The sequence below is a fragment of the Homo sapiens genome, chromosome 5 (genome assembly GCF_000001405.40).
Source record: "Homo sapiens chromosome 5, GRCh38.p14 Primary Assembly".
NCBI classification, from domain to species: domain Eukaryota; kingdom Metazoa; phylum Chordata; class Mammalia; order Primates; family Hominidae; genus Homo; species Homo sapiens.
In genome coordinates, this window is record NC_000005.10 from 68,077,623 (window position 1) to 68,100,725 (window position 23,103).

At 40.0% G+C, this 23,103-nt stretch overlaps 1 long non-coding RNA gene across 1 annotated transcript; it reads left to right on the plus strand.

The window, feature by feature from the left end:
- Positions 1-117: 117 nt before the first annotated feature.
- LOC124900990 (uncharacterized) lies at positions 118-20,345 on the plus strand. Its single transcript, XR_007058800.1, has 2 exons — positions 118-649; positions 19,210-20,345. It is a non-coding gene; the product is annotated as an uncharacterized LOC124900990 (long non-coding RNA).
- Positions 20,346-23,103: the final 2,758 nt, after the last annotated feature.

Consider the following 23,103-nt stretch of genomic DNA (forward strand, 5'->3'; position numbering starts at 1 on the left):
AAGCCAGATCACAAAGGTAACATTATGTTAATTAAGTTTTGCACAGAGGTAATGGGAGATGAGGAGATGAGTCCAGAGGGAGGAGTGCAGTGGCAGGAAGATACCGGCCTGCCCTGAGGCAAGGGCTCTGGGACCGGACATGCAGAGTCAAGAGATATTCAGAAGGAAAAATGACCAGACTTTGTGATTAACTGATTGAGAGACAGGCAGATTACAGCAGGAAAAAACAAAGGAGGTTAGGTTAGCTCCAGTGGCTTTGCTCTTGGATGGCCAGCTGGACAATGGCTCCCTTCACTGTGCCGGAAGATAGGAGAAGGAAAGTAAGTTGTAGGGACAAGCCTACAAGCCGATGAGGTCAATACTGGATCGGGTAAAAGTGAGCTAAGTGAAAGACTCTTAGGCAGAGATGGCAGGTAGGATTTTAGGGGTGATCTTTTTCAAACAGGGAAATTTGTGCCCAAAGAGGTTACGGGAATCAGTCGACTCCACATAGCTGATGAGTGGCAGAAAGGAACTCAAGGCCCAGCTGTGCCCAGGTATGCTACTCTAGTCCAGGGCTCTTTTCACTACACCCTCTGCCTTCACCTTCCGCCCTCCTGCCTTGCAGCAACAGCTCGAGATAAGGTCTCCACCACACAGTCACTGGCTGGTAAGTTACTCTTCTCTTTTTTTTTTGTTACTCATTTGAAGGTATGAGGAGGAAAAGCCCTCAGGAAACTTCATCAAAAAATCAAAAATCATTTTAGATTGTGAGCACTTAAACTAATTTTTAATTGATTAAGTTAACAATCAATAATTTGATCGATAGATGTGTTCTATTTTGAATTCGAAGTATGAAGACCCAAACTACTCAAGAAACGATTTGTTTCTAATTTCTCAAAGTTTTGGTTTATTGAAAATATCCTCAGTGGGACTCAAACAATCAATTTCAAGTAAATGTGGTAATAAAAATGTTATTGTAGCTTTGCCGGGATAGCCTGCCTTTCTGTCTCCATAGTTCAATTCCAAGTATAAAACACATGCAAATGGAAAGCCTGCTCCCAGAAACAGGTCCTTGCTTACTCCTATCTCCAGACAGACGGCCTCTGGGAGGCGGTGGTGGGGTTCACTTTATGGGAATTCATTGATCCTCAGATTTTCCCCATGGGAAAGTCAGAGACAGCAAATGTCATGAGGAAAGTCATATTTTCCAATGTTTTCACAGAATGTCTCACACAGTAACTATCCCCGTGAAATGATTTTCTCTCTAAACTCCTCAGAGAGTTGTGCTCAGTATGTGAACTTTTAGAATAATCATCTAAGAACCTAGCCGGGTGCAGTGGCTCATGCATGTAATCCCAGCACTTTGGGAGGCCAAAGTGGGCAGATCACCTGAGGTCGGGAGTTCGAGACCAGCCTTACCAATATGAAGAAACCCCGTCTCTGCTAAAGATACAAAATTAGCTGGGTGTGGTGGTGCATGCCTGTAATCCCAGCTACTCAGGAGGCTGAGGCAGGAGAATCGCTTGAACCCGGGAGGCAGAGGTTGCGGTGAGCCGAGATCACACCATTGCACTCCAGCCTGGGCAACAAGAGTGAAACTCTGTCTCAAAAAAAAAAAAAAAAAAAAAAAGAATCATTTAAGAACCGAAAGCATCACCAAAATGTGTTGTACTTTACCAGTCTATGTTTTCCAGGTCTCTCTGTGAGATTGTCACTGATTAAATGGTTAAACAGCAGCTTGAAACTGTAAGAGATACACTAGTAAGAATTTCTCAACCTACTTTTCAAAAGGCCAAATTTTTGGTACATTTACCCGGTCCTTTTTTTTTTTTTTTTCCTTTGTGCTTTTTCTGAGGAGCTCTCTGGTGAAACAAAAGCATTTTGACCTTCAACTGGAATTAAAAACTTGGTGGGCAGGGCAGGGGGAGGAACAATACCACCTCACCCGCCACCCAAGCCCTTTGTGGAGAAGAGCCTGAAGTAGCCCCAGAGAGGTTGACTCTATACTAGGAGTAGAAAGTATTAGCAAATACTCAATCTAATTTGCTGTATGTGGACCTTAATAAAAAAGATGGCCTAATATATACACAGCGTCTTCCACTCTGAGAACTCCAAACATGACCTCCCCTTTTCAGCAGGCCACCTTGGATTCATTGACCCATCCCTTTCCTACCAGCAGGGAGGTTCTCGCCAAGTCACACTCTGGTGGCTTCCTCCTCAACATCCCAGACTGGAGTCCTGTCTGTTAACACTCCTGATGCCCTGTTGGGATTCAGTCATTTCTCAACTCCTGACCTCTTTTTCCTCTTAGAGAAGCACAGAAACAGCCAGTGGCTTAAGATTTCATCCTGGCACAACTGTATCTCAAGAAACAGATTGCCAGCTCTCCTGGGGACAATCTCTATACCTTCTGTCAAGAACCCATGAGTTCTCCTCAGGCTCCCTTTAAGGTGGTTTCTCTTAAATGTTACCAACCTAAATCACTATTGTTTGAGATGTGTCCTACTTTTTATTTATACAGGCACGAGGTCACACTATGTTGCCCAGGGCTAGTCTCAAACTGCTGGCCTCAAACAATCCTCCCACCTTGACCTCCCAAAGTGTTGGGATTACAGGTGTGAGCCACAACATGCAGCTATACCTTCTTTTTTGAGATGGAGTCTCACTCTGTCACCCAGGCTGGAATGCAGTGGTGTAATCTCTGCTCACTGCAACCTCTGCTGCCCGGGTTCAAGTGATTCTCCTGCCTCAGCCTTCTGAGTAGGTGAGACTACAAGCACCTGCCACCATGCCTGGCTAATTTTTGTAGTTTTTGTAGAGATGGGGTTTCAACATCTTGGCCAGGCTGGAATTGAACTCTTGACCTCACAATCCACCCACCTCCGCCTCCCTAAATGCTGGGATTACGGCGTGAGCCACCGCGCCCTGCCGCCTTCTTTTTTATTATTACGTAAGATAGATAACTTCCAGTCACCAATTTGGTGTAATCTCCCTTTGCAGAATTGTCCCTAGAAAAATGTTCTTATTTTTTCATGTTTCCTTTCCAAGTTAAACACCTTAGATTTGCTTAGCCCATTTTCATATTTTTGCTGGATGCCATTTTCCACTATCTTCATCAGGCTTTGTTTTCCCTCCTCTCTTGAATGGTGAAGCTGTTAACTAAACACTGTCCTCTCTGAAGGGTCTGACCATTGCTAAATATGTCCAATGTCCTCTTGGCTGCTTCATTTAACATGCCAGCCTTGAACTGTTCTTTCGAAAACCACTTTTAGTACATTTCTGATTGATGTTTAACTTTTGAAACCTGATTCTTTGAACACCTGAAAAACCCAGTGTTGCATTGGTGCAGTTCATTTTCCTTTTTGCTCCATTGTCACCCTAACCTACCCCATTCATTCAGCTTCCTCCAGTTTGGCCAAGTGGTTTTGAGGTCTCCCTTTCCCTGTGGCTTTTCCCTGTCTGGGGATGTGAGCCTGGCCATGGAGAAGCAATTTCCATGAGGTCCCCATAATTTTTAGGCTTTTCTGTGTGCCATCAGCATCCCCCAGCCACAAATACTGTCTGCTTCCCCACTCTTAGCTTAGGAGAATTTAGAGAAATAGATAGAGCTGTATAATCCAAACCAGATTCTCAAGGCTTACATATGTATGTCTTAAAAAATTAATAAGGTACACATGGTAACCTAAATTATTTAATCAAAATGTTACTTAAATATCTATAAGCATAAATCCATGTACAAACCCCTTACTTATATCTATAGTTTTTATACAACTATCAAATAAAAATAAAATTATAAATTAAGTACAAACCACAAACCAAAATAATAATAATAATCAAATAAAGTAATTTAATGTAAGCTGGTCTTGAACTCCTGGTCTCAAGCGATACTTCCGCCTTGGCCTCCCAGAGTGCTTTGATTACAGGCATAAGCCACTGCGCCCAGCCAGGTTGTTTCATTAAAATGGAAACCTCTCGCTTGATGTGAAAAGGGTACTGATGTTAATGGCAAAGGTTCTTTTCAGTTCCATGCACCTGTAGTATTGTTTGTAATGTAAAAACTCCATTTTGCCACCGCATTTTTTCATTCAAATTTCTGCAAAGATTTTGTTTCTTCAGAGCAATAAAATGTCTTTTGACCTTGGGTTGATCTGAGCATCTTCTTCTAGCCCTTGAGGCTAGAAGACTGATGCCATATGTTATTTCCATGGTGTCACGTCAAAGTATCAATATGTTAAATCACTTAAGAAATGAAAGTCTTCTTTGGGAGACCAAGGTGGGAAGATCACCTGAGGTTGGGAGTTTGAGACCAGCCTGACAAACATGGAGAAACCCCATCTCTACTAAAAATACAAAAAAATTAGCTGGGCGTGGTGGTGCATGCCTGTAATCTCAGCTACTTGGGAGGCTGAGGCAGGAGAATCGCTTGAACCCGGGAGGTGGAAGTTGTGGTGAGCTGAGATTGTGCCATTGCACTCCAACCTGGGCAGCGAGAGTGAAACTCTATCTCAAAAAAAAAAAAAAAAAAAGAAAGAAAGAAAGAAATGAAAGTCTTACCTGGCCAGGTGTGGTGGCTTGTGCCTGTAATCCCAGCACTCTGGGGGGTCAAGGCAAGTGGATCGCTTGAGGCCAGGAGTTCAAGACCAGCCTGGCCAACATGGTGAAACCCTGCCTCTACTAAAAACACAAGAAAAAATGAGCCAGGCATGGTGGCAGATGTCTGTAATCCCAGCTACTCGGGAGGCTAAGGTGGGAGAATCGCTTGAACCTGAGAGGCAAAGATTGCAGTGAGCCCAGGTCACACCACAGCACTCCAGCTGGGGTGACAGAGCGAGACTCCATCTCAAAAAAAGAAAAGAAATAAATGAAAATCTTAACTTATGGAAACACCTTTTAGTTGAAAATTATTGATGTAAAATTAAAGTTTTGTCATTAATGAGATGAAATAATTCAACATAAATTTATTGGTAGATCCAGAATGTAGGTTATCAGTTTGAAAATAGAACAAACTAGCCTGGGCAGGTGGCTTACGTCTGTAATCCCAGCACTTTGGGTGACCAAGCCAGGCGGATCACCTGAGGTCAGGAGTTCAAGACCAGCCTGGCCAACATGGTGAAACCCTGTCTTTACTAAAAACACAAAAATTAGCCCAGCATGGTGGCACGCACCTGCAGTCCCAGCTACTTGGGAGGCTGAGGTAGAAGAATCGCTTGAGCCCAGGAGGCAGAGGTTGCAGTGAGACGAGATCACACCACTGCATTCCAGCCTGGGTGACAGGGCGAGACTCTGTCTCAAAAAAAAAAAAAGAAAAAGAAAATAGAACAAACAATCACAGGTAACTAGAGAAGCTTTCCAACTTACTAAATTTTACTTGAAATCCTTTTAGGATATCAAAAAGCCAAACTACATGTATTTAATACATTTGTAAATACAAAAATAAATGCAGGTGCTGAAATCAGCAGACATGGGTTTGTCTTTCATATTATCAAAAATTTAGTCCTTTATTATTAAAATGAAAATATAAAATTCAGGATTTTTCATTGTGAACTCAAAGACCCAGGAGAATATGTCCATAGACCTTGGAATGAGATAAATCTAGCTTGAGAAACAACCAAATTTACTGGAGTTGAAAGGAGCCCTTACAAAATACCTAGGGATTGATGGGTTGACAGGTGCAGCAAACCAGCATGGCACATGTTTACCTATGTAACAAACCTGCACATCTGGGGTACATCTTGCACATGTACCCCAGAACTTAAAATAAAAATTACAAAAAAACCCAAAAATTACCTAGGGAAGACTAGACCATCTTGGCCAACCTCCTCTCCTCAACTTGAAATGGAAGACTAGGGATCTGAAGAGCTTAAATGATTGGTCGGTGACAGATATGGGTCTCCAGATTCCAATTTCATGACCCTTCCCACTACATCAACACTTGCCAACTTGTCTTACATTTCATGATGTTGCATCCCATTAATACTTTGAATACACAAAGCCCGCTAATGCTCAGAAAATATTTTTATAATATTTGGTCATATTCATTGACCAAAGAAAAATCCTGCAAAATGGTAGCACTTCAATTTATTTAAATGATTCTTTAATGAATATCCATTTAGGAGGACTCTATTTATTAATTACATCTGTATAAACTAACACTTTGTTTTATTTTTTGTAAGATTACTTCTTTCCAGTTTCTAAGATTGCCTGGGGTTTATAAGTGTGTTCAAATCTCCACTATCCTAAAGGGATGCTGTGGTCTAAATGTGTTCTTCCAAAATTCACATGTTGAAATTTCATCACCAGTGTGATAGTATTGAGAGGTGGGGCCTTGACTCAGGGAGAAAGGGTGGGAAGGAGGGGAGGGATAAAAGACTACAAATGGGGTGCAGTGTATACTGCTTGGGTCATGGGTGCACCCAAATCTCACAAATCACCACTAAAGCACTTACCCATGTAACCATACACCACCTGTTCCCCAATAACCTACAGATATAAAAAATTAATTAATTAATTTTAAAAAAAGATAGCAATGGGGCTTTTAGAAGGTGATTAGGTCATGAGGGCTCCACCTTCGTGAATGAGATTCATGCCCATATAAAAGAGGCTTCACAGAGCATTGGTCCCTTTTGCTCTTCCATCTTTTCTGCCCTGTGAGGACACAGCAACAAGGCGCCATCTTGGAAGCAGAGAGGGCGTTTTCACCAGACATCAGATTTTCTGTTGCTTTAATCTTGGACCTCCCAGCCTCCAGAACTGTAAGAAATAAATTTCTGTTGTTTGTAAATTACCCAGTCCAAGGCCTTCTGTTATAGCAGCAGGAAAAGATTGAGACAAGGACCTCCCTTAACATTATTCCTACTCAAATTGTTCCCTCCCCCTCCCTCTGTGTCATCCAAGGTTTTTGAAAATGAAATAGAAAATTAATGTCTCCATTTGCTAACTTCCCATTCTCTCAGTAGCCCATGTAAGTGGTGTAAGGGAGCTTCTCTGTTCTTCTGTTTTCACTACTCCATTGAAATTGTCCCCTCAAAGGCCACACTGGTATCCTAATTGCCACATCTAGTGAGCTTGTTATGTATTATTGTACTTCACCTTTCCAAAGGGCACTTCCCTCTTAAAACTCTTCATCCATGGCTTTCTTGATGCTTGTCTTTACTTTGTCCATCTGCTCCTCTGATTTGCACTTTCTTTGTGTTACCTGATTTCTCTTCCCAACTTCATGAATATTGATATTCCTTAGGATTGTATCATTATTCTTTTTTCTTCCTTATTGAATGTCATCCCAATGATGGTTTCATGTGGACCCATCTTTTAATAATGCGTAAATGTGTCCCTTTAATCCATCTTTTTTCTCAGGTCCAGAGAAGTATTTCTAGAAAACATAAACATTTAAGAGATAAGCATGGGATTCTAGGTCTGCAAAAAAAGCTGGGGTTGTAATTACAATATTTATATTTAATCATAGTATTCCATATAGAAATACAAAAATATTTTTTATATGGAAAAGGAAAGAGGAAATGAAGGAAGAGAGAGTTTCAAGGAGGCAATAGTCAACTGTTTCAAATGCTACAGTCACGTCGAATAAGATAATAATGGAAGTATTCTTTAGTCTTAGCTACTTGGAGGTTACTGGAATCTTGGCAAGAGCAATTTGGTATCAAATCCAAATAAAAATTTGTTGAGGAGTGACTTAGAAGAGAAGAAATACAGACTGTGAATGTAGAAAATCTCCAGCAACTTAACTGTGGAAAAAAGGAGAGTTTATGATCTGAGGGGAACCTAGGGTCTGAGGAAGGGTATGCTTTATTGGTTAAGAAGGAGCCAGGACAGAGAAGGGGCAAAAGATAGGAGCGAAGGGAAGCCACATGCCTGACCAGATATTGTGAACTAATGAGTCTTAGGCAGGAAAAGAGGTACCTCTTTCATTGGCTAGGAGGAATGAACTTGAGGGTGGTTGTACTTCTTGTTGACTGAGGGAGCAGCCAAGTATTCCAAAAAGTTCACATCAAATAGTTTTTTTTTGTTCTATTCAAAAATTGCAAAATAAGAGGTGAGGTCTCCTTCTGATGTTCATAGAAAACATGATGAGAGATTTGAGGAGAGTTGATATTAAAGAAGGAACTGACAGCCTTCCATAATTTATGTTCTTATCTGTCCAACACCCTGCTGCTAGAGAGACATTTCTGAAATGTGGATCCAATCATGATGATTTTTGGCTCCCAGGTTCCCACAAGATAAATTCCTATCCATAACTTGTTCTGTACAGCCTTCCACAGTGCAGCTCCCACTAATCTCAAGCCTCATCAGCACCCCCTCCACCCCAGCTTCCAGCATCACCGTTATTCAAACATGGTACATGCCAGAACTCCCTGCCTAGAATTCCTTTAACCTCACTTCTCTGCCCAAAAACCTCCATCCACCCTGCAAAATTCAGTTTAAGAGTTTCTTCCGGTCAGGCGTGGTGGGTAATCCCAGCACTTTGAGAGGTCAAGGAAGAATTGCTTGAGGCCTGGAGTTTGAGACCAGTGTGGGCAACGTAGGGAGACTCTGTCTCTATAAAAAATTCAAATTTTAACATTCTTGTTCTTTTCAAAAGAAGTATCTTCTTACTCTGGATATATCTTACTTTTTCTAACCTGTTTTCTCTGTATACTGATTTTATTTATTTATGCACTGATTTATTTTTACTCTGTCACTCTTAGGTATTTTTGTATGGTGTTTCAAATCCCCTTGAGGGATATGTTTCTTCCATTAATTTAATTAACTAGCCAATGAATATGTATTCTGCAAAATATAGTGTATAACTTTAAGGAGCTCCAAGGAAACAGGCAGCCATAATTCAATGTAACCTGTGCTATAAAGAAAGATGGACAAAGCTGCCACAGGCTTGGAGTGGAGAGAGTAGTAGTGAATGGGGATGGGAGTAAAGGAGGCCACTGAAGGCTTCCTATATGCATGCTCATGCTTCTGTCCCTCTCACAAGGAGTTTCATGGTGAGTTCCATGAAGTCTAGGGCAGTGCCTTGTCCAACAGGGTGTCCCCGGGTTGCAGCATATTGACTATTACGTTGTGCCTGCTCTACAAGGTTAAACAGATGCTCGTATTGAGGAAGCAATTGTATAGCTTCCTACTTTCGGGATCTTATAGACTCCTGTTACAATTATTTTCAGCCGGAAAGATTAATTATTCTTTCTAACGTGTTGCCACTTCTTAAAATATCTGTTCACGGTTATTGAGAGGTGAAAACAAAAAAAAAAACCTTTTTGATGCCATTGGAAAGTCCAGTCATTACTGCTCTCAGCGCGGCCATCTGTTTATTGCTCTGTTCCGTGAATCCCTGACTCAGCTTCTCCTCTATCACGAGGGCCCTGCCAAGAGCAAATTCCTCTTCTGCACTCACCACCAAGGATTCGGCTTCTTCCTTCCTTCAATTCTTTTGTCTGTGCTAATCATTTGTTGTTAAGTTGCCTGAAAAGAAATGGATGTGATCATTGTATAGGACTTTTTTTTTTTAATAAAAAGAAAGAACGAAAAGGCTCTGCTTTCTCCTTGCACATCACTGTTTGGTGCTCAATCTAGCATGACTTCTGCTTTGTATATTTGGGTTGCTAAACAAGAGAGTCATTGTTATCCGCTTAATTTGAAATCATGATTTTTCTATGAAGCATTCTAATCTCAGCTTTACCAGCAGATGGGCTTACACCTAAAATAAGACTAGCTTCTCGCCTACCCATTTTGTCTGTTTAAATCCTTTTTATAGGAGTATGAAAGGCTAGGGGTTGAAATTTTCACATGTTCTGTGACTACTTGTTGCAGAAGTTTCCAGACTTGAAATATGCAGCTGTAAAATATTCAATTGCAAAGGCTGCAACACCTAGTCCCACAGCTATCAACATCTTGCCAGCCCCTGGAAATGTCTACATCAGGTCTGGTGGTCCCAGGCCTGTCTTACCTGTATTAGTACAGTGGCTCGTGATGGTTCTAGATTCCATCTTGTACTTCAGGTGGGAGTCATACTTTCTCCTGCCATAAAGCCCTCTTTCTTTCAGATCATTCAAATCTTTCAGATTGTTTGTGTATTCTCTTTTCCTCCCAAGACTAATTTCTAGCAACAAGCAACTGTTATGTTAAAATTCCTTTTATCAAATAGGAGTACATTTGGAATAGTGATATTCTTTGGAATAGCAATATAGCAATAGGAGTCCATTTGGAATAGCAATGGTGAGGAGGTGAGAGTCCAGAACTCCTAATAGAGTTACAGTAGACAGTCCCTGAGGAAGGTGGGTTCAGTCAACTGCAGAGTTGTTATTTTGTTTCCATGATATGGATATGCAACTTTGGGGTTGAAATGAATGTCTCAGGACAACAGAAAAGAAGTTAGAGCTGCCGCCTTCTTGGCTCTTCTCCCAGGTAGCCTTAAGCCTTTCTTCTAAATAAGTGTTTAGCAAATACTTTAACACTGTTTGAAGAGGTGCCAAATGATTAGCCTCTCCAGAGAACCGAATGTCCTGGTTCCCTTGCTTGCTAGTAACAGATAGCTCAGAATTCAGCACCTAAAACTAGCCTGTGTTGCATTTTCTCTAGGGGTCTCTCTTGTCATTGAACAGAACACAGACTCATTGGTCACATCTTTGATGACATGTACCCCTACCAAAGTTTTCTCGAGTGTTCCCTCTTTTGATTGACACTATTTCTGAGAAAGATTTCATTGTGAGCTCTCCTCCCAAACATGCTAAATAAAACAGATGTGCACCCTTTTGGGGTTCCCCTCCATATGACCTCCTTTTTCAGAGAAGGGCCCCATTTTCTCTGGGTGGAAGGTTGTAAACATATGGAATTCATTACTAGAAGCAGTGGTTCAGGCTGTTTCCGAACCCTAAGCCAGTTCCCTTACCATGACAAAACATTCCCCACAATCTCATCATGACTCATTTTTATCTTTAAATAACCTCTGGTGTGGAAAATTGTCAAGGTTTTTGAAAAGTTTAAGAAATGATGTCCGCATGCTTATTGACCCGCTCAGAGAATTCTAGTAGATAAAGCCTGTTGTCTCCTAACAGAAATCATTGTCTATGTTTGCTGAATAGTCCATGACTGCCCTGGAACTTACAAAGGTGAATTTATTTAAATCCTAATGTGTGTTCATCATTGTGCTCAACTCTAGGAGGGGAGAGAAAGAAGTATAAAGGCATGGTCTTTGGTACTAAACACCTTGAAATCAAGTCAGATGGATTAAAAGAAGTCACAAAATGATTAGCAAACAAGAAGATACATAAATGTGGTGGTGACTAACACTATAAAAGGAGTTCAGAAAATAAAGAAACAAGTGTATTAGAAGAAGAAGGACAAATCTTCAGAGAGAAGAGAGCCCTCAAGTTGAGTCTTGAAACCTAAGTAGGCTTTATAGAGACAGAGCAAAGGGAAGACTGCAGAGAGCTTCCAGGCATTCCAGAAATAAAAGGGAAATAGCATGAGAGAAGACTCAGAAGTAGGATTGTCTGGTCGCAGCAAACATGTAAAGGAGTCTGAGAAGTTCAGGATGAAACTAAGGAAAGCCTAGAACAGCAAGCCAGAATAGTGAGAACTTGATATGATACACAATAAATAGTTTTGAAAGGGCTTTAAGCATATTTAGGAATTTAGTATTACAAAGAAAAGAAGGTGTTTGGAAGTGAGAAATGGAAGCAGTTTATTGAAGGACTATCAAGACAAGCCAAAACTGAGAGTTTTTGTTTTGTTTTGTTTTTTTGTTTTGTTTTTTAATTTATGACCAGGCATGGTGGCTCATGCCTATAATCTCAGCACTTTGGGAGGCCAAGGAAGAAGGATCACTTGGGCCCAGGAGTTCAAGACCACCCTAGGCAATATAGTCAGAACCTATCTCTACAAAAAAAAAAAAAAAAAAAAAAAAAAAGTCAGGTGTGGTGGCACACACCTGTGGTCTCAGCTACTCAGGAGACTGAGGCAGGAGGATTGCGTGAGCCCATGTGGTTGAGGCTGCAGTGATTGTGCTGCTACACTCCAGCCTGGGCAACAGAGTGAGACCCTGTCTCAAAAATATATATATATATATTAGGATAGACTGAACATGAATGAAGACAAGTGAAAGAGCACAAGGAAAACTTGAAGGTAGAAAGAATAGTAATAATGGATGTGGAGTTCTAAAGGAATGACTACTGTTATTAAAATCTGTACTAGTTTCCTGGGACTGTCATAACAAAATGTCACAAACTAAGTGGCTTTAAATGACAGAATTCATTCTCTCCCAGTTCTGGAGGTTCTAAGTCTAAAACCAAGGTGTTGGCAGGGCTGTGTTCTCTCTGTGGGCCCTAAGGAGGAAACCCTTCCTTGCCTCTTTTGGCTTCTGGTGGTGGTTGGCAATCCTCAGCATTCCTTGGCTTGTAGCAGCATCACTCCAGTCTCTGCCTCCATCTTCACATGGGCTACATCCCACCATGTCCTGTGACTCTGTATGTCCTCTCCTCTTCTTGCAAGAATGGTAATCACTTTGGACTTAGGACGCACCTTAGTCCAGTATATTGCTTCTTAACTAATTACATCAGCAAAGATCCTATTTCCAAATAAAGTCACATTCTGAAGTTCCAGGTGGACTTGAATTTCAGGGGATTACGATTCAATCCAGAAAGTATATGAAGGGGTTAACCTTATAGGACCTCAAGGGAAGAGTCTCTCCCTCCAGGATTCTAGGGGAAATGAGAGGCGATTCAGGGCCAGTGAGTGTGAGAGTGAGAAGAGAGTCTGATCATCTGTAAAGCAGAACAGGCTTCCATTGAGAGGGGACTATGGTTATGGGAAGCAGAAATAGCAGTTTAAGAGGAAAGGGGGCCTGGAGGAGTCACAGTAGAGAGTAAAGGAGAGAGGCACAAAGGATCAATGAGTTCCCAGTGTCAGAGTGGGTCTGGAGGCTATGCGTGTTCAATGAATCAGGTCATCACAATATTTTTACTTCCTCTTATCCTGTTTTTATTTTTTTATTTTTAATAGATTTTATCTTTTAGAGCAGTTTTAGGTTCACAGCAAAATTGAGCAGAAAGTACAGAGTTCCCATGTGCCCTCTGCCCACCCCCCACACACTTAGCCTCCCCCAGTATCAACACCCCCCGCCATGGTATATGGTATGTTTGTTACAGTCTATGAACTTACATGACACATCATTCACCCAAAGTCCATGGTTTATATTAGGGTTGACTCTGTGTTGTACATTCTACAAGTGTTGACAAATATATAATGAATTTTTTTTTTTTTTTTGAGACGGAGTCTCGCTGTGTCACCCAGGCTGGAGTGCAGTGGCACAATCTCGGCTCACTGCAAGCTCTGTCTCCTGGGTTCATGCCATTCTCCTGCCTCAGCCTCCCAAATAGCTGGGACTACAGGCGCCCACCACCACGCCCGAATAATTTTTTTTTTTTTTTAATAGAGATAGGGTTTCACTGTGTTGGCCAGGATGGTCTTGATCTCCTGACCTCGTGATCCGCCCACCTCAGCCTCCCAAAGTGCTGGGATTACAGGTGTGAGCCACCGCGCCTGGCCTATAATGACTATTTTAAAATTTTGTTAATCCACCAGTTTTTCAGTTACGAGAGTTAGTCTTAGTCTGTAATTCCCATAGTATTTTCTGGAGCATTTCTTGTGTACAAGGGTCACATTGGTTTTAGGGAATAACAGATGTCACATTTTGGCCAGCAGATCCACAGAAGTACACTTGAGTCCTTCAAATTTTCTGACAAAATGCTAGTCGGTGAAAATGACCTTCTTTAGGCAAATACATTTGTATGAAAAAAAAAAAAAACTAAAGTACATGGATAGTTTTTTTTTCTCAAATAGGGTTTTAATCTAAACAGGGTACCCCAGTTTATTGTATGTATCTACTCTGGAAATTCAGTGGTTCATATTTGGAGAAATATATTTTATTTTTTAAGTAAAAAATGCAAATTCAATTCAAAAACACAATATTTTTCACGCATACACACTCACATACACCAGATAATTCTGAAGGATTTAACTGAGCTCCTAAAAAATAAAACGGGGCTACATGGTACTTAATTGAATTATTTTTATAAAATTTGATAATGATATCTTGAAAAGGGTTGGGAGGGTACTTTAATTTTTTTTTTTAATGTCTAACTTCTGTTTCTAGGGTCAGAGCTCCACTCAGCTGACCTATTGATTCATGGAGAGAAAACTATAAGAACCAAAATGTAGATTCACAGTGTAACCCTACTGCAGGAATTGTCTTCAAACATTGTACCCATGGAAAGAGCAGGGCCTTTGGAGCCAGAAAGCCTGAGTTAGAATCTAGACTTATTTATTTATTGAATTGATATCTCACTTAAATTATTTGCATTTATGCCATCATATAGGATTGAAATTTAATCTAAATTTTGATTCTGAATTTTTGCTTAAGGCATCTTCACCAAGTTAAAAGTATGATGTAGCATTTGAGGGTCACTTGTATTTTTAAAAATGTTTTACTTTGAAATAAAATGTAATCCCTGAGCAACTCTGCACCTGCATGACCCTGGGAGTGAGGGTGTCTCTAAATTTTGCATCCAATGAGCTCCATCCAAGAGACAGCCTTGTCCTAGTCTTGTGTGGAAAGGAGACAAAAGCAGGAACGGGCAAACGGAAAAGTCAGGCTGTCATGCAGATCTCAATGAAATCCTTGGCCAATCCCATGGCAGTCCTGAAGCGAGAAAGGAAATGGCTTTTCAGCACAGGCTCCTGCTGTCCAGAGCTCAGGCCAGGTCTTCCAGTCCTAAATCAGTCATTGGATTTGCACTGGACAAGGCAGCTCTCTGAAGCTGAGGCAATCCCTGTAAGGACTAAAGTCACCTGTGGCAGCCCTATCAGCAGCCATCAGCAGGTTATTCATTGAAGGGAGACCTGGGCAGGACTTCACAGCATCCTTTACACTATCTTATTTATTTATTAATTTATGTCTTTATCGTAGTTATTATCTAGAATGTTAGCTTTTTTTTTTTTTTTTTTGAGACAGAGTTTCACTCTTTGCCCAGGCTGGAGTGCAATGGCGAGATCTCGGCTCACTGCAACCTCCACCTCCCGGGTCAAGCGATTCTCCTGCCTCAGCCTCCCAAGTAGCTGGGATTACAGGCACCTGCCACCATGCCCGGCTAATTTTTTTTTTTTTTTTTTTTGTATTTTTAGTAGACACGGGATTTCACCATGTTGGCCAGGGAGGTCTCGATCTCTGGACCTCGTGATCCGCCTGCCTTGGCCTCCCAAAGTGCTGGGATTACAGGCGTGAGCCACTGAGCCCGGCCTGCTTCTTGAGGGCAGGGATTTTGATCTCTTTTGTTCACTACTATATCCTCAAACTTGATAGTTCCTGATACACGGTGGATACAAGATAAATATCTAAGAATATTCCAAATTCCTTTATGTACTGGCTCAAAGAGGGAAGGGAATTCATTTTCCCCAGCCGCTGGCCAAACTCTCAACTCAGAACTAAAATGAGTTCTCTAATGGGCCAATTCTCAAGCTTGAAAACTCATGTTTCCTATTCAGAAACATAAATATCTCATATTTTTTATAAACTGTATATTATAAAATCATTTAAATGTTTTACAATAATTTTACTTAACTATTAATTACATATATTTTTAAATTACTCTCCCCTCATCCTGTTTCTGATAACTTGAGGGTGGTGGAGGGAGGCTGACCTCACTCCCTTCAACTCCTCACTGAAGTCACGAATCCTGTCCCACCCTTTCACTAGGGGAGTGAGGAGACGGGGAAGTAAAGTACTTGGCAGAGAACACATCTTGTGAAGCAAAGGCCAGCAGGAACCCAGGCCATTCACCATCTCCTTGCCTGTATAATAGCCAAGCTTGGTTTGGAATTCCCAATCAGTCCCAGCAAATCATCACCATTTTTCACAGCTATTTTTGCATTGTTTCAGGAATATTCAGACAGCTGTTGTTGGTATTTTAAAGCCTCCCATGGCAGTGGGGACACCAGTTCTCCTGACGGTGTTGTGTAAATTCACTAGAACAGCTGGTTCACCCATGTTTTCCTCGTGATACTTTTGAATATAAACTAGCTGGAACAGGTTGACCCAGCTGTTGGTTCCTATTACTGGCACACAAAGGTAAAGCCACACCAAATAACTAGGTCACTGTTGAATCCACTCTGCCATCACTATCTGCCAAACACCTATCCCTGGACCCAAATTCAAGTTGTCCTGAAAGTCGTCAGAACTAAACTTTAAAAAAACCTCATGAGTTGTGTACTTTATTGCATGCATTTTTATATGTATATAAAGTGAGGTTTAAATAAAATCTATGGATTAACTGCCTATGTCACATGTAAGCACTAAGAACAAATGGAAAACCACATGTCATTTGAGTGGAGAGCCTAGATTTCTTGCACCAAATAGGAGTAGACATTTATTTCAACTTGAAAAAGCTCCCACTTCCACCACCTTTGATCCCAAGGACTAACATTTGATGGTTTTGATATTTCCAGGGATTTCTCCATGTACTTATTTTTTACATTAACAGGCTTCAGTAATAATTTTTTTCTTGTTAATTCAGCTGATCCTGGACTCAAAGGAAAACTGTAAACAAAAGGAAAATATACAGGGAATGTTGAGAAAAATCCTAAAGATAAACTTGTATCTTGTAGACAAACTTGTAAAAACTTGTATGTGTATATTTCAGGGAGAGGATTTTAGTAAAGATGTCCTGAAAATAATATTGCTTTTGCTATTCAATAATTAAAAACTCAACTATCCCAATGTTATATTCCAATATATTGGGAGTGAACCTTGTGCATACAGGTTAGAGCACAAGCTTTTGTCAATCCATCCAGGTTAGAAATTCTGCTGTGTCATTTACTAACTCTGACCTTGGGAGATTAATTAACATTTGTGCATCCCAGTTTCTCATCTGTAGATAGGGTTATAACATCTAAATCATGGAATGTTGGCAATAATTAAATTAAATTAGATAATTTAGATAAATCATTTAGCATAGCCGTACCTGGTACATCATAACATGATAGTCACTCAAATATTTTTATTATCATTATCATCATCATTACTAATATACTTTTCATAATTACTCCATGTGCTTCACCTCCTTTTATCTAAAAAATGTGTTTTCCTCAAAAATAATTTTCATAGCAGTTGCAGTAGTAACTAGCAGGGTTCTAGTGAAAAAGCAGGCCCCCCTCATATATGTTTGTTTTATAAACAGAACACTCCTACTACTCATTTATTCAACAGCTATTGATTGCATTTTATTATATATAAGGCAATATATATGTATGTCCTAGTCCAGTATACCTTTCCCCACCCTTCCCCACTTTCAGCTCACTTTTTTTAAAGGATGCCATGTATCTAAGTAACTGTTTCCAAAGGAACAATGTAACACTGGTTTAGTTAAAATACAACCGTCACACATGTGTGGCCTTAAAAGCCTCTCTCAGGATAAAGTGTAGTAATAGTACATTAGAATGGGCATCAGGAGCCTAGGAATGTAATCTCTGTTATGCAACAAGCAAATTAGTTTTGTGATTTCAGGCAAGTCATTTCACCTTTGTGGGCTTTAATTTCCTTGAAAAATGGTCCTCCAATTAGCCTGGTGGCTTTTAATCATTTTGGTGAACAGAACCTATGACTCAATCTAAGGATATCATTAGCTCTTCTCCAGAACATGAACATACACATGCAAACTCATAATTCACATTCAATTTCAAAAAGTTCCTGGCTTTCCTTGAAGCCCATCTGTGAACCTTGAAGGTTCATGGATGAGAGGTAAAGAACCCTTATGCTAGAATAAGGCTCTCTGCTTCACTATTTTGAAATTCTAGACCCCACTACCAACACATGATCTTCTACTCAAAAATAACAGGATTAAAGTCTCTTCCTAGATAGGATATCATTTCACACCTCCAGGATTATAACTAATCTTTCATCACCTTCTCTAATCGCCTTTTATTATTCCAAATATGCTGACAGGAATATATCTCAGAAAAAAATATTGGCAATCAAAACTCTGTACAGATCTTGAATAATCACTGAACTTTAATTCCATGGAAAACTAATTAACAAACTTCCCCTAGGCACTACAGCTTCCAAAGGGATTACCATGAAGAGAAATTGTGCTCATATTCTTAGGCCTCCAATATTTAGACCCAGCTATTTCCACCAGAAGAAGTCTGTGTCATTGTCTTCTTATATGAAAATACAGCCAAGGGAAAAGTGAAAGGCTTTTGGACCACAACATATTTTAAATTGGGAAAGAAAGAGTAGTGGGTTAAAAAAAAGAAAGAAAGAAAAAGAAAAAAAAGAGCAGAAGCCATCCCAGAGACCAGGCAATGAAAATATATTCATATTTTAAAATGGTGCCATTGCAGATGATCCTTGGCTTATGGACCAATTGAACTGACCTCAGAGGTCAGAATAATCCAACCTCCCACACATCACATATGTGACACATCATAAACTCTTACACACACACAACACACACACACACATCCTCACACACACACACTATTGACAACACCTGAGCTCAAGCCAAAGCCTTGATGTAAGGCAATGTCATAGGCAGGTTTCTAAGAGGATCTTCAGTGACCTTTACCCTTATGTAATCTCCTCCTCTCAAGTGTGGACAGAGTCTGTGAATAGACCGTCATGCATTGTTTAATGACAGGGATATGTTCTGAGAAATGCATTGATAGGTGATTTCATCCTTGTGCTAACATCATAGAGTGTATTCACACAAACCTAGATGGTATAGCCTACTATACACCTAGCTATATAGTATAGCCTATTGCTCCTAGGCTATACACCTATATAGTATGTTACTGTCCTGAATACTGTAGGCAACTGCAACGCCATGGTAAATACTTATGCCTCTAAACATATCTAAATATGGAAAAGGTATAATAAAAATACAATATTATAATCTGATAGGACCATTGTCAATACGCAGTCTGTTGTTGACTGAAGAGTTATGAGGCACATGATTGTCATGAGATACCACTCCTATGACTATGTTACATATATAGCAAAATGGATTTTGCAAATGTGATTAAGTTCCCAAATCAGTTGACCTTAAGAGACACAAATTATTCAGGTGGGCGTTACCTCATCAAGAGCCCTTTAAATCTGCATCTAGAGGTGAGAGACAGAAGAAGTAAGAGACTTGAAGCACAAGAAGAATTTACTGTACCATGTCATTGCAGGCTTAAAGATGGAAGGAGCCACATGGCAAGGAAGTGGGTGACCTTAGAGACTGACAGCAGCCCCCATCTGACAGCAAGCAAAGAAATGGAGACCTCAGTTCCACAAGCTCAAGCAACTAATTTCTGTCACCTAAGAGAATGAACTTGGAAGTGGATTTTCCACCAGGGTCTCCATTTGAGAACTCAGTACGGACAATATCTTGATTTCAGTCTTCTTGAGCAGAATCCAGTCATGCTGTGAAGGACTTCTGACCTACAGAGCTGGGCTAATGAATGGGTATTATTTTAAGCCTCTAAACTTGTTATTTGTTACCCAGCAATAGAAAACTAATACAGGGAAGAAATAAGAAAGATGTTTGTAATTTGATTCTCCATAGTCAGGCACATGGAAAAGTAAACTCTTTCTTCCTACTTCTAAAAGCCAAATTCATACACCCTCAGGCTATGTGTGATTTGCCTAAGCAGTCATATAAAGCTATTTTATGCTTTCAACAAATATTTATTGACCTTCAGGTGATACCTTGGGAACTGTGTATGTAGGAATGAGTAAAAATATTGGAATTTGATATTTTAACATTTTAAACTAGTTGGACCATTAGAGAACTAGTAGAAGTTCTTACCAAAAAGAAAAGAATGACTTATGACAGCAGTCCCCAATCTTCTGGGCACCAGGGACCATTAGAGAAGTGGAAGTATAGCATTTTAAATGATTTGGTTTAAAACTGGCAGCATCATCATAGTGTATGTCTGCCTATATTTTAATATAGATGCATAATTTATTTTTATAACAACTTTTATAATTTATTGGCAGTGTGTATGTTTTTGATAACTGATATGGTTTGGCTGTGTCCTCACCCAAATCTCATCTTGAATTTTAACTCCCACAATTCCCACATGTCATGGGAGGAACCCAGTGGAAGGTGATTGAATTATGGGAGTGGGTCTTTCCTGCACTGTTCTCATGATAGTGAATGAGTCTCATGAGACTGATGGTTTCAAAAAGGGGAGTTTCCCTGAACAGGCTCTCTTCTCTTGCCTGCCACCATGTGAGACATGCCTTTCACTTTCCACCATGATTGTGAGGTCTCCCCAGCCACATGAAACTGTAAGTCCAATAAACCTCTTTCTTTTGTAAATTGCTCAGTCTCAGGTATGTCTTTATCAGCAGTATAAAAACAGACTAATACAATAACTTTCATCATAAGTGGTTCTCAACTAAATCAATTGAACAATACATTAAATTGTGTATTGAATCTTGACGTTGTTTGGGGTATATTCATTCACTCACCAAGTATTTACTAAGCATCTATTATGTGTCAAACATGCTTTTAGGCCTTCAGTGTATAAAGATTAAAAAGAAAATTAAATATGACTTAAGGAGCTTACAGTCTAATGGAGAAGACCAACATACAATAAACAATTATACATGTTATTATATACATATTAATTATACATATACACATACAAAATTATATATGTATATATTCATATATACAATTAAGCTATAAGCTCCTTCATGTGTGTGTGTGTGTGTGTGTGTGTATATATATATATATATATATATTTGAATCTCTTTTTCCTCTTTAAGGACAGACATAGACCTCTGCAATAGTACTGTTGTATCATGAATGACCTTTAAAGACAGATACCAGAGTTTAGAGCAACTAGAGACTCAATCCCCTGATCTCAATCCTAGGCCTGCTACGGGGCTCATCAGGGCACGAATGTCAGCAGCCAGTCCAAACGAGTCTGCTGCCTGTGTTCCAGCCAGTAGCCAACTTCTCCACCAACTCCTTGCTACCTGGCCATTGGAAGAACATCTGTATCATGTGCTTGGGAGCTAAGACCATCTGCCAAAGAAACTAGCAAAAACTCTAGGGTTTGGGAAGATAGCTCTAAGTGTCCCACCCTCTGAAGGCCTTTCTCTTCCTATTCTAGAAGCCAGGCCCTAGACCATCAAAACTCTGCTGTCCCAGCAAATTGGGAATCTGGGAGATATGGACAGCCTACTTGAGGGCACCACAAGCTGAGATCCTCTGGCACTTGACACATATAATATTCTTTTTATTGAATGCTTTTTTAGTTCAAATAAATCATTTGTTTTCTTGCTCAAGTGCAAATGATTAGGATTATTACCCCCAGCAACTCCATAGCAAGGAAAAGTACATGCACTTGGCCTACTGGTTAGGAAAAATATGAAATGGAAGAGCAGTGAAAACAGAGATGGGTCAGGGAAAGAGACCTGTGGTCTGCAAACATCATGTGCAGAGGTCAGGAAGGAGGCCAGAGGTTTTTTTACCAGAAAAAAAAGCACACCTTATGGCAGCCATCCGCAGCCTTTTGGGCACCGGGGACTGGTTTTGTGGAAGACAATTTTTCCACAGACCAGGGTCAGAGGGTGGTTTCAGGATGATTCAAGCACATTACATTTATTATGCACTTTATTTCTATTATTATTACATTATGATACATAATGAAATAATTATACAGCTCACCGTAATGTAGAATCAGTGGGAGTCCTGAGCTTGTTTTCCTGCAACTAGACAGTCCCATCTGGGGGTGATGGGAGACAGTGACAGATCGTCAGGCACTAGATTCTCATACAGAGTGTGCAACCTAGATCCCTCACATCTGTAGTTCACAATAGGGTTCACACTCCTATGAGAATCTATTGCTGCCACTGATCTGACAGGAGGCAGAGCTCAGGAGGTAATGCAAGCAATGGGGAGCAGCTGTAAGTACATACAGATGAAGCCTCGCTCACTCATCCCCCCCACCACCCACCTCCTCCTATGTGGCACAGTTCCTAACAGGCCACGGACCAGTACCAGTTTATGACCCGGGAGTTAGGGCCTCCTGCCTTATGGCACAGAGAAGAGAGCAACTTGTGGAATTTGCCAAAACTCAGTTCTCACTCAGTATTATCAATATTGATCAATTTGCCTGTTTTTCAGTTTACCAAAAACTTAATTAACTTTCTCCAAATACTATAGCAAATCATTTCCCTTAAATGGTTGCAACAGCCTTTAAGGATTTTTTTTCACCATTTAGTTTACCTTTTTAGTTGAAGCAATTTGAAATTCACAAGAAATCTTCATTCCCCAAATCATAAATTTAAAGTACCTAAAATACAGAACTTTGGCTCACTGCTGATAATTGAGTAAATTGACTTTGTGAGGTTAAACTAACTGAAAACTAATGAAAAGCTGTGTTTATATGTGGTTTTATATCACTTTACCTTTTGGTTTCCTCTATTTCTCCCAATTGCTACCACATTGACATTTATTATTCTTTTGGCAACTTACATCTGAATCCTGTTTCAATGGGGATGTCTTCTAATGAGAGAGAACATGGCTCCTGCTAGGAAAGGTAAAAATTCCAGTTACTCCATTCTCTTGCTTTCCTTACAGCTAGGGCAGGGCTATGCGAATTGCTATAAAAGGTATCAAATGCTATAAACATTACTTTTTAAATCTCCTTAAATTTTATCAAAGAATTAGACACATTCTTCCCCTAGAGCTTTTCATGTCTGGCTCCCTCCTACGATTCAGTTACTAGAAATCTTTTCCTAAAACCCCTGATCCCAGCACCACCACACACCTCCCACAATGAAAAGCTGCCTCTCCTTATCCTGTGCCATATTAAATCAGTAGATTAATTAATTATAATTGTAAAATTGAATTTCAATTCCCTAAAATGCTGCTGTGAAAGCAATAAAATGAAAACCAGTCAACTAAAGCATTGCAGAAATCATCAGAAGTTATTTAAAAAATCCCATCTAATATAAATTGCCATAAAGTTTATAGTTTTTTTAACACATTTTTTTGGAAAATTAGTATTTGGGGTATCTTAAGGATAATTGATTCCTTGGTCAAATTCATTTCTAGTGAATCG